This window comes from Homo sapiens, chromosome 12 (assembly GCF_000001405.40).
Source record: "Homo sapiens chromosome 12, GRCh38.p14 Primary Assembly".
In the NCBI taxonomy this organism is placed as follows: domain Eukaryota; kingdom Metazoa; phylum Chordata; class Mammalia; order Primates; family Hominidae; genus Homo; species Homo sapiens.
The window spans coordinates 91,953,147-91,965,636 of NC_000012.12; the positions used below are offsets into that span (position 1 = coordinate 91,953,147).

The following is a 12,490-nucleotide window of genomic DNA, read 5'->3' on the forward strand; positions in this document are numbered from 1 at the left end:
CTTATAAAAATGTTTAACTAGCTGATATTCCAACTTCCTCATTTTAGAAAGGAGGAAATTGAAGGCCAGAGAGGTAGCACAGGTCACTTAAGATTCCTTCAGAATCAGGAGCAGAAAAAAAAAATGTCCAGTCTTTTAATCCAGGTTATTTCCACCACATTGCTTTCTTGATGATAAGATTAATCCCTATCATGTACTAAATGTTGAGCATCTTACTTGGTGTTCCACCTGTATTTACCAATGAATAATTGATAAATACATTCCCTTACTTGGTGTTTTACCTGTGTTTACCAATGAATCCAGCAAAATCTCTAAATATTTGCCTCATTTGAAGATAAAGTTCAAGAATGTTAAGCAACTTACACAAGCCTACATTCAAATCCAATCTAACTGGAAATCCTGTACATGTATTTTCCAAGTTTAGATAAACTTAAATGTTTCTTGTTGGCCATCAAAACAACAGATCATCCTAAGGTGACCCAGGGGGATAAAGAGAGAATGGGTAGTTTATTGCCAAATTTTGGCTCTACTTTTTATGTGTGCTTTATTAAAATTGAAGAACAATGAATATAGTTATAGAAAGACCAAATGAAAACCTTATTTGAGAATTGCTTTCATCTCTTTCTGCCCTAAGATTATCAATAATCACTTCTTATTTTATGTTGATACTATATTTTATTAGAATAAGCATGTGGCTTTTCCAGTCTTTGATGTATCATAGATCATGCGTTTGTACATATTAATTTCTTTCCTTGTTCAAAAGGTTTGCTGCTTATATTGCAAATCAAATTTGTACATGTGCTCACAGGAGGGGAATATTGCAAAGATGTTTTCCACTGGCATTATCATTTTTCAAGTTGCATGTTTAAACCAGTTTTCTTTATCTCTTGTATCCTTTAACTCAGATACATAATGTAGTTTTAGCATAATTGTGATACAACTCTGTTTTTGTCCTGTTTTGTTTTTTTTCAAATGTAAATCTGCATTTCATTTGTACAGAACATCAAGGTAAAAATATGTATGTAGTTCTTAAAAATCTCTATAATATGAAACTATGGCAGATAGATCTAAAAAGAGGCTATAAACAGAAAAGTAATATGTAAATGCAATCAAATTTTAAAAGAGAATGACAATAACATTATACTGAATAGAGTGGGGTAACCAGAAAGAGAACACAAGTATATCTCGTTTTATTCACCTTGCTCTATTGTGCTTCACAGATACTGCATTTTTTACTAATTGAAGCTTTGTGGCAATCCTTCGCCCAACAAGTCAGTTGGCACCGTTTTTCAAACAGCATGTGCTCACTTCATATCTCTGTGTCACATTTTCATAATTCTCAAAATATTTAAACCTTTTCCCTTATTGTCATATCTGTTATGGGTAATCTGTGATTAGTGATATTTGGTGTTGCTATTGTAATTGTTCTGGGGCACTGTAAACCTCACCAATCTGACAGCAAATGCAGTGGGTAAATATTGTATGTGTTCTGATTGCTGCACCATCTGGCTGTTCTCCCATCTCTCTCCCTTGCCTTGGGCCTCCCTATTGCCTGAGACACAACAATACGGAAATTAGGCCAATTAATAAACCTACAATGTCCTCTAAATATTTAAGTGAAAGGAAGAATCACACAGCTTTCACTATAAATCAAAAGCTAGAAATGATTAGCCTTACTGAGAAAAGCATGTGGAAAGCTGCAACAGGCCAAAAGCGAAGTCTCTTGTGCCAAACAATCAAGTTGTAAAGGTAAAGGAAAAGTTCTTGAAGAAAATTCCAAGTGCTATTCCAGTGAACATGCGAATGATAAGAAAGAAAAACAGCTTTATTGCTGATAGGGAGAGTTTTAGTGGTCTGGATACAAGATCAAACCAGTCACACCATTCCCTTAAACTAAAGCCTAATCTAGAGAAAAGCTCTAACTCTCTGCAATTTTATGAAGCCTGAAAGAGATGAGGAAGCTGCAGAAGAAAATTTGTAAGCTAGTAGAGGTTGCTTCGTGAGATTTAAGGAAAGAATCCACCTCCATAACATAAAAGCACAAGGTGAAGTAGTAAGTGCTTGATGGAGAATTTGCAGCAAGTGATCCAGAAGATCTAGCTAAGATCGTTGATGAAGGCGGCTATACCAAACAACAGATTTTCAATGCAGATGAAACAGCCTTATATTAGAAGAAATGCCTTTTAGGACTTTCATAGCTAGAAAGGAAAAGTCAATGCCTGACTTCAAAGCTCCAAAGGACAGGCTTACTCTATTGTTAGGGGTTAACACAGCTAGTAACTTTTTGAGTTGAAACCAGTGCTCATCTACCATTTCAAAAATTCTTGTGTCTGTAAAAATCATGCTAAATTGACTCTCTCTGTGTTCTATAAATAAAACTACAAAGTCTGGATGACAGCACATCTGTTTACAGCATGACTTACTGAAATATTTTAAGCCATCTGTTGAGACCTATTGCTCAGGAAAAAAAAAAAAACTCCTTTCAAAATATTGCTGTTCATTGACAATGCACCTGGTCATCCAAGAGCTCTGATGGAGATGTACATGGAAATTAATGTTATTTTCATGCCTGCTAATACAACATCCATTCTACAATCCATGAGTCAAAGAGTAATTTTGACTTTTAAGTATTATTACTTAAGAAATACATTTCAAGGCCACAAGTGGTGACTCATGCCACCTCTCTTTTGAGGGCAGAGGTGGGAGGATTGCTTGAGGCCAGGAGTTTGAAACCAGCCTGGGCAACATCTATACAAAAAAAATTAAAAAAAAAATTATCCAGGCACAGTGGCACATGCCTATAGTCCCAGCTAATTGGTAGGCTGAAGCAGAAGGATTGCTTGAGCCCAGTAGTTCAAGACTGCAGTGAGCTATAATCATGCCACTGTATTTCAGGCTGGGTGATAGAGGAGAGATCTCATCTCTTGAAAAAGACAAAAAAAAAAGAAATACGTTTCATAAGGTTATCGTTGACATAGATAGTGACTCCTTTAATGAATCTGGGCTAAGTACATTGAAAATCTTTTGGAAATGATTCACCATTCTAGATGCCCTTAAGAATGCCCATAATTCATGGAAGAAAGTCAAATATCAATATGAATAGGTGTTTGAAAAAGCTGATTCCAGCTCTCATGGATAACTTTGAGGGATTCGTGGCTTGAGTAGAGGAAGTAACTGCAGATGTGGAGGAAAGAATAAGAGAATTCGAATTAGAAGTGGAGTCTGAAGATGCAACTGAATTGCTGCAATTTCATGGTAAAACTGGAATGGATGAGGAGTTGCTACTCATATATGAGTGAAAAAAGTGATTTCTTGAGAAGGAAACTACTTCTGGGGAAGATGTTGTGAACATGGTTGAAATGACAACATAGGATTTACAGTGTTACATAAACTTAGTTGATAAAGCAGTGGCAGGGTTTAAGATTGACTTCAATTTTGAAAGAAGTTCTACTATGAGTAAAATGCTATCAAACACTATCACAGGCTACAGAGAAATCTTTCGTGAAAGCAAGAGTGAATCAATGCAGCAAACTTTACGGTTGTCTTATTTTAAGAAACGTTACAGTCACCCCAACCTTCAGCAACCACCATCCTGATCATTTGGCAGCCATCAACATTGAGGTAAAACCCTCCACCAGCATACACTAGGATTTGCTGAAAGCTCAAATAATCATTAGCATTTTTTAGCCAGAAAGTATTTTTTAAATTAAGGGATGTACACTGCCTTTTAGGAAAAAATGCTATTGCATGCTTAATACACTCGAGTGCTGTGTAAACATAACTTTTAAATGCACTGGGAAGCCAAAATATTTTGTGACTCACTTTATTGTGATATTCTTTTTGTTGTTGCTGTTGTTGCTTTTTGCTGTGATCTGGAACTGAACCCAGAATATCTTCAAGGTATGCCTGTATTTTTATCTTATTATTATTTAAACCTTTAAAACAATCTTTTACTGACAAATGGGATCTAATTAAACTAAAGAGCTACATCACAGCAAAAGAAACTATCATAAACAGGCAAGCTACAGAATGGGAGGAAATTTTTGCAATCTACCCATCTGACAAAGGTCTAATATCCAGAATCTGCAAGGAATTTAAACAAATTTACAAGAAAAAAACAACCCCATCAAAATTGGGTGAAGGATATGAACAGACACTTCTCAAAAGAAGACATTTATGCAGCCAACAAACATGAAAAAAAGCTCATCATCACTGGTCATTAGAGAAATGCAAATCAAAACCACAATGAGATACCACCTCATGCCAGTTAGAATGACAATTATTAAAAAGTCAGGAAACAACAGATGCTGCAGAGGATGTGGAGAAATAGGAACACTTTTACAGTGTTGGTGGGAGTGTAAATTAGTTCAGCCATTGTGGAAGACAGTGTGGCTATTCCTCAAGGATCCAGAACAAGAAATACCATTTGACCCAGCCATCCCATTACTGGGTGTATACCCAAAGGATTATAAATAATTCAACTATAAAGACACATGCACACATGTGTTTATTGCAGCACTACTTAAAATAGCAAAGACTTGAAACCAACCCAAATGCCCATCAATGATAGACTGGATAAAGAAAATGTAGCATGTATACACCATGGAATACTATGCAGCCATAAAAAAGAATGAGTTCATGTCCTTTGCAGGGACTTGGATGAAGCTGGAAGCCATCATTCTCAGCAAACTAACACAGGAACAGAAAACCAAACACCGCATGTTCTCACTCATAATTGGGAGCCAAACAATGAGAACACATGGACACAGGGAGGGGAACATCACACACCAGGGCCTGTCAGGGGGTTAGGGGAAAGGAGAGGGAGAGCATTAGGACAAATACCTAATTCATGCGAGGCTTAAAATCTAGGTGATGGGTTGGTAGGTGCAGCAAACCTCCATGGCATATGTATACCTATGTGACAAACCTGCATGTTCTGCACATGTATCCCAGAACATTAAGAAAAAATTAAAAAAAAATTAGTAGTTGCCATAAGGTTTAAAATATAACTCTTTAATTAATCATAGTCTAGCTTAAAATAATATTATAATACTTTGCTTGTAGTGTAATAAACTTACAACAGTATACTACCAACTTCTCCCTTCCATTATTCATGCTAGTATTATCAGATATTTCACTTTTACATACACTACATACCCAGAATAGATTGCCACTATTTTTGCTTTAAACAAACCATTATCTCTTAGTGATTAAAATAATGAAAAATAATTTTTATATTAAAATTTATTTTTACTATTTTTCAGAACTCTTCTTCTGTATAGATCCAAGTTTCTATGTGGTGTTAAAACCTTTCTATCTGAAAGACATTCTTTAATACTTTTTTGTAAGGTGGTTATCATGGGAATTAATTCAGTTTTTGTTTGTCTGAAAAAGTCATTATTTATCCTTTGTTTCGGGAAAATATTTTGCTGGGTAAAAAATTCTGGATTAACAGGGTTTTCTTTTTTTCCCTGCCAATTTAAAGATGTTACTGTACTGTCTCCTGGCTTGTATAGTTTCAAATGAGAAATCTATTGTAATTCTTAATCTTCAAGTTTTTCTTCTCTCTTTCTTCTCCTAAGATACCCATTATGTAGGTACTAGACTATTTGACATTGTCCTGCAGCTCTCAGATGTTCTTTTTAAAACTGTTATTATTTTTTTAACTCCTATATCTCTTACTTTGAGTAATTTCTACTAACATATTGTCAAATTTGTGAATCCTTTTCTTGTCTACGTCTAGTCTACTGATAATCCTGTCAAAGGCAATCATCATCTTTGTTACCTTGGTTTTTCCTGTGATTTTTTAGTTGATGAGTCAATCTAGTCCGAAGTTGAGCTGGGGTTGGGTTGTGATGTTGCTCTGATTACCCTCAGTGCACCACCAGTTTCAAATTCCTTTCATATTACCTCGTGCTTAGAGTAGGGTTTCTCTCAATGTTCTAACCACTTTCAACCTCAGCTTTAGGCATTTTTTTTTTTTTAAATGGAGTTTTGCTCTTGTTGCCCAGGCTGGAGTGCAATGGCATGATCTCGGCTCACTGCAACCTCCGCCTCCCAGGTTCAAGTGATTCTCCTGCCTCAACCTCCGGAGTAGCTGGGATTACAGGCACCCACCACTACGCCCAGCTGATTTTTTGTATTTTTAGTAGAGACTGGATTTCACCATGTGGGCCAGGCTGGTCTTGAACTCCTGACCTCAGGTGATCTGCCAGCCTTGGCCTCCCAAAGTTCTGGGATTGCAGGCTTGAGCCACCGCGCCCGGCCCCTGAGCCATCGCGTCCAGCCCCCGCTTTAGACTTTCTTGAGACACTGTGCCCCTGAAAGGGTCTTTCTCTATGCTTTGCCGGGGCCACGGTGGCACACTGTTGTGACATGTTATTTGACTTTGTTAACCTGATGTTTGAGTGATAGAGGGAAGTTTTCTCTTGTGCTGGTTCATCCTCTCTCTTAGGTGGGTCCTATGTCTCTAGGTCTTGGGTATAGGGCTTTTTCAGTGATCCTACGACTCTCCAACAAAAGGAGAATTCTAATGATCTGGGTAGAGGGTGAGTTTCTGCTCTTCCCCCTGTGATGAAGAATTTATTTTCTCTGGCACCTGATTAGCTGCAATAGATTTTAACTGTGCCATTGGAGCAATAGAGTTTTCTGTGCTTCCCCCCAAAGATGGGAGGCTTTTTTCCTGTAGGAAAGATATGAGGGAAGGATCAGGACCAAGTGTCATGTGTTTTCCACATTGTTTGCTGTGCTCCACCCACTGCCAGCTTGGTATCAAAGAGAAAGTGTTTTTAAGCTCCTGCCCTGTTCTCCATCTTTCTCAAGGGTGCACCGTGTAGTCTATGGAGAAGAACATGTGCACAAACACAAACTCCTCTTGCATCTGCAGCTCCTGTGGGTTCTATACACCCAGGAAGCCACCCTTGTCTTTTAATAATTCAATCAAAAATGTATCTGAATTTTTTTATTCACTTTTGTGACAACTCAGTCTTCCTCCCTCACTCTGCCCCAGTAAACCAGTGTCCAGGTAAGTCAGTGCCCAGGTAAACCAGTACTCACATCCCCACTTCTCCTTGGAGGTGCCTGTCTTTCTTCAGATTTGTGGCTAATTAGTTTCCTTGTGTTATCAATTTTCTGATGAGGTCAAGAAAAATTATGATTTTGAAGATTATCTGGCTTTTTGTTATTGTTAAGGTGGAAGCAACATTCTAGCTTTCTACACTCTGACCAGAGCCATGAAGTGTTTCTGATCTAACTAAATATGCAATATTATTATTTATTTTCCTATCTATGCCTACTTACTATTTTTAAAAGTATAAGAGAGTTCTTAGTAGGCCCATGTGATGGTTAATTTTAGGTGTCAACTTGACTGAGTTAAGAGATACCCAGATAGCTGATGAAACATTAATTTTGAGTGTGTTGATGACAGTATTTCTGGAGATCGGCATTTCAATCAGTGGACTTAATGAGCAAAACCCACACTCATCCAATGTGGGCAGGAACCATGCAATCAGCTGAGGCCCTAGAAAGAACTAAAAGGTAGAGGAAAAGCAAATTCTCATTCACTCTGTCTTGTGAACATGTGACAACATTCTTCTCTTGCTCTTGAACATCAGAACTCCACATTCTCTGGCCTTTGGTCTCCAGAACTTGCATCAGCGGCCCCCAGTTTCTCAGGCCTTTACCTTGGACATAGTGTTACACCATTGGCTTTTCTGGTCCCAAGTCTATTTAAAGTAGATGGAGAGAGGAAATGCAACACCTTGGCCTAAGAATCTAGACGAACTTTACAACAATCCCTCTACCTTCGCACAATATATTATGAAAATGGAAAATCAAATTTGAGAAAACTGATAATTACCTGAACAAAATCATGCAGTCAGGGGAATTAAAATGCACTTGGAGAATAGGAAGTAGGCCGCAAATAGGTATGTCTCTGCATCCAGGAACATTAGAAACAAGGCCAGAGAAACAGACAAATTAGACCATGTTGTGCAGTTGCCAATCAGATGTGAAAGTCTCCTATCAGCTAAAGGACTCAAATTGAGAGGCAATAAGAAAACAATAAAAATTCTGTGAAGGAGAGTGACATAGAGAAAGTGATCCTTTAAGAAAATGTGTCCGGTGGTCAGTTGGCAACAGATGGAAGGTAAGAGAATCCAGAAGTAGGGAAATGGAATAATAAATTAGTATAATAGTCTAGGAGTAAAAGGGTCAAGGCCTGCATTGCAATGCTAGCAATGCAACTAGGAGGAAATGGGAACAACTTGGGAGACATTGTAGACAATTCCTAAGGCTGGTTGACTGATTTGATAAGCGTGGTGGAGGGAAAGGAGAAATCAAATGCACAAGGCTTCGTGCTGCTATCATAGGGGCCCAATTTTCTCACTAGTATCTTCAATTCTTCCTTGTCCAAGACTTTTCTCGTTTCTGCTTTTAAACTTGCCCGTGCTTGAATTAGCATAAATGTTTGGAAAAGATAAAAAAACATTTATCTTCGAAATGTTTTTGAGGTAAACCATCTCTGAAATAAGAACTTGTTTTCCAGCCAAAACTCAATTTGTATTAAAACTGTTGTTTAAACACTCTGTCCAAACATGACAGATGTTGGAATCAATTGGTTTGCAAGTCTTTATTTTTTTCCCTCAGCTTCAATAAACAAAATCTTCTTAAGTTATTTTCCATCAAATACATTTACTAAATGTTCAAAATGCATATAGACCTCTATAAAGTTAATTGAAAATCAAATTCTTGGCCTTGAAAAACTAAAAAGAAAGGTAACATGGACATAACTTTTTCAACATGCTTTAAAAGATACAAGAGTATATTTTTTAAAAGCCTAAAGACACAGCAATAAAAGAATTTTCTTTTGTAGTTACCTCTCTAAATTTTTTACTAACTTTTTTCCTAAGGTTCCAAAGAAATTTTAGAATAATTTTCATAATAAGATTTTGTATTTGCTATAGGTAATACTGTATAAGTCAAATGAGTCTGAGGCTGTTTCTACATATTACCATGAACAATAAATATTTATTGACACTCTCCTTGATGAAGATAATGAGACTAACAACAGGCTAAATTTAATCAATACAAAAGGAATTTAGAAGTAAAACTCAGCCCTAAGGCCCCCTGGCTCGTTTCTACCTATTTACTCATCTATAAACTAGGACTTATAATAGAATCTAGCTTTTAGGATTGTGGGGATTAAATGAAATGATATGTATAAAGTACATAGTATGGTTCCTTGTACATAGTAAAGATTCAATAAATATTGCCTAATATGATTATGCTATTAATCTGTTTCATTTATTATCTACTTATATTTTATTAATTATCCTTCTATGTCAACTACTTATTAGGATCTTAATATTTTAATTTAAATGTAGTGTTCTTTGTGTACTAAAATATTAATGTTTGATTATATTTATAGCAAATTCATTTCTAACTTTTTTGTCTTTCAAAAAATTTGATAGGCATTTGATAATATTGCATTTCTTCTTTTATTTTACTTATTTATTTATTTATTTTTGAGATGGCGTCTCCTCCGTCGCCCAGGCTGGAGTGCAGTGGCGCATCTCGGTTCACTGCAAGCTCCACCTCCCGAGTTCACGCCACTCTCCTGCCTCAGCCTCCTGAGTAGCTGGGGCTACAGGTGCCCGCCACCACGCCAGGCTAATTTTTTGTATTTTTTTCAGCAGAGATGAGGTTTCACCATGTTAGCCAGGATGGTCTCAATTTCCTGACCTCGCGATCCGCCCGCCTGGGCTCCCCAAAGCGCTGGCATTACAGGCGTGAGCCACCGCACCCGGCCCTCTTAAGCACTTCTTCTTGAGATTTACCATTGCTTTTAAAGGTAGAAAATCTTTTCTGTTCCAGAAATACATACAAGATAATATGTTTATTTGAGCATCTTCCTTCTTCCTTCATCCTCTTCTTCTTCTTCCTTAGCTGGACATTTTACATTTAACATGGTACAGATGGAATTGCAGAATGGGGTTGTGAAGTGGGGCTCAAATTTAATTTTCTAGCAAACATTGCTTGAAATAAAAGTCTCACATGTGGAATAACTCTTTCTGTCATTATTGATTTATATTATATGTTCAGTCTGGCTCATTAACCTTATGTAAGATCCAGCTGCTCAAACCCCTACTACAAAATTCTAGGTTCTGCCTCCTGCTCTCCATTCTGACACTGCTCCCTCTGGTCTGAGCACTTGGTTGAATCTACTGCTTCATGCTTAAATTTCCTTCTGTCCCTACAACAAGCACTTTGGTTTACCTTTAGTTACATCTTGAGCGTCTGACTTCACTTGGCTTCTATTGGCCAATCCGCCCCACATCACATGTGGTGGTGCCCAAATCTGGTGCCCTAGGAAAGGGATCGGATAACTACCATGTTTATTACTACTTTGGCAACTTTTGACAGATGCTGAATTTTACTTCTGTTTTCCTCCAGGCTATGAACCCTTCAAACTCACAGCTATATTTGATAGCTAATTTAAGTTAATTTATTTAATCTAAGTTTGCAAAGGTCCTGAAAGCCGAAGCAATGATCTGCTCACCTCTCTAAATTCTAGCTCTTAAATAATGTCTTATTATGTCATGTTAGATTTTTCAATGCTTTTATGAAAGCATTTTGTATTTTATCTCGTAATTTTAGTTGTTTTCAGCCTTACCTTACCAGATATAGACTTGCTCTGCATTACGTCTTTCCAATCAAATACACGTTTTGATTCCCTATTTAAATTATGTTTCTTCATTACAGAATTATCCTAGGTACATAGTACAGTGCTTAACCCACAGTAGACACTCAAATAATATTTGATAATACAGACGTGTGCCACATTAACAACGTTTCGGTCAACAATGGACAACCTATATGAAAGTGGTCCCATAAGATTATAATAACACATTTTTACTGTACCTTTTCTATTTTTAGATATACAAATACTCACTGTTGTGTTACAGTTGCCCACTATATTCAGCGCAGTAACATGCTGTGCAGGTCTGTAGTCTAGGAGAAATAAGCTATACCATATAGCCTAGGTGTGTAGTAGACTATACCATCTAGGTTTGTAAAAGAACACTCTATGATATTCATATAACAATAAAATTGCCTAACAAGGCATCTCTCAGAATGTATCCCCATCATTAAATGATGCATGCCTGTAATTATAGAGATAGCAATGATAATGTCAGCCAATCAGAAAGCTTCGGATTGCAAAAGTAACTCCAAAAACTCTAAAACATTGACTCTTAAATATGAGATTTCTTACCATAAAATACTTTGAAATAATTATAATTGGAACACGTTTGTAACGAGAGAGAATCTAGATTCTGTCTAGAACATGCCTCTGTTTATTTGATTACAAAATATTCATAAGGCACTTGAGGAAGAAGTATGTATAAACACGAAAGTCAGGGAGAGGGAGGAGACACCATCATTGGTATGATTTTTCTGGTCTCCAGCAAAAGCTTGGGAACAAATTTGTTCTGCATCCTTGATTTTAGTAACTGTATGGAGAACTCCCTGATGTTTCAAGTGTTTGTAAAACCATGTCATCATTTGGATTTACCACATTTCTGTGTCCTCTGCTAAACCACAAGTCCATAAGGAGAGGGAGAGTTGATTTGTTCATGACTGTATTCCTAGTACCAAGTGCACTGTTTAGTACATAATAGGTACCAAATAAATTTTTATTAAATGAATGAGAGGATGCAATATGTTCAGAGGCATAAGACATGGCTCTGTCTTGCAGAATTTAAAATTTTCATACATTTTGTCATTTGTTGCTGGCAAGAACCAGCAGAGAGACAGCTTTGACACCATAATTTGCGAAGACCACTATCTTTTTTTTTTTAATGAAGGAATTGAGACCCATAGAATATATGAAACTTACCCAGAGTCACATTGTTTTTTAGTGGTAAAGCCAATATTTCTCTGAATTCAATGTCTAATATTCTTCCTTTATGCTACAATGCCTCCCTATGAGTGAAACACAAGTGACAAAACAAAACAGAAAATTACATTTAAAATATCCAGGATGACTATAAATGATTTAGAAATTCAAAGAATAAAAACAGTGAAAATTAAATACAATAGGCTCATGGAGGAGTTAGAGTTTAGGTTAACTCCTCAAGACTGTAAGTAAAGAGTAGAAGAGAGGTTACCTCAGGGAAAAGAATTTCAGAACCCTCATCAGGATTTTTTAAAGTCAATTTATGTTCTTGCTTTTTTTCTAATGGTAATGGTTGATTAGCACTATAAATATTGTGGAGGTAAGAAATGGTTCTCTCACAAGCCACATAACATAGCATGGGTATTATAGTGGCATGTGAGCCATGAGATTGGTACAAGTCTTCACTTTTGCCTCAAAAGACTATATCGAAAAATAATTAAATGGGAAATGTTCAGGATATTCACACAATACTTTACTAATCTAAATGATAATACTCAGCATCTGAGTCCGTGTTATGCCTAATGATGACTGCAG

The 12,490-nt window shown here is 36.7% G+C and overlaps 1 long non-coding RNA gene across 1 annotated transcript in view, besides 1 other annotated feature; it reads right to left on the reverse strand.

The window, feature by feature from the left end:
* The window catches only part of LOC105369901 (uncharacterized), a 53,084-nt gene that overhangs the window by 36,853 nt on the left and 3,741 nt on the right, over nt 1-12,490 (reverse strand). Inside the window, exons 2-3 of the long non-coding RNA XR_007063580.1 lie at nt 11,897-11,982; nt 7,859-7,933 (exon numbers count right to left, since the gene is read on the reverse strand). This is a non-coding gene — a long non-coding RNA (uncharacterized LOC105369901). The remainder of the gene's footprint in view (nt 1-7,858; nt 7,934-11,896; nt 11,983-12,490) is intronic.
* Nucleotides 9,370-9,574: a silencer, noted in NCBI's record as "fragment chr12:92356292-92356496 (GRCh37/hg19 assembly coordinates)". NCBI's record gives its function as "represses an EF-1alpha promoter that drives an FKBP-Casp9 reporter gene in an ReSE screen in K562 erythroleukemia cells {active_cell/tissue: K562}" and the evidence as "EXISTENCE:reporter gene assay evidence [ECO:0000049][PMID:32094911]".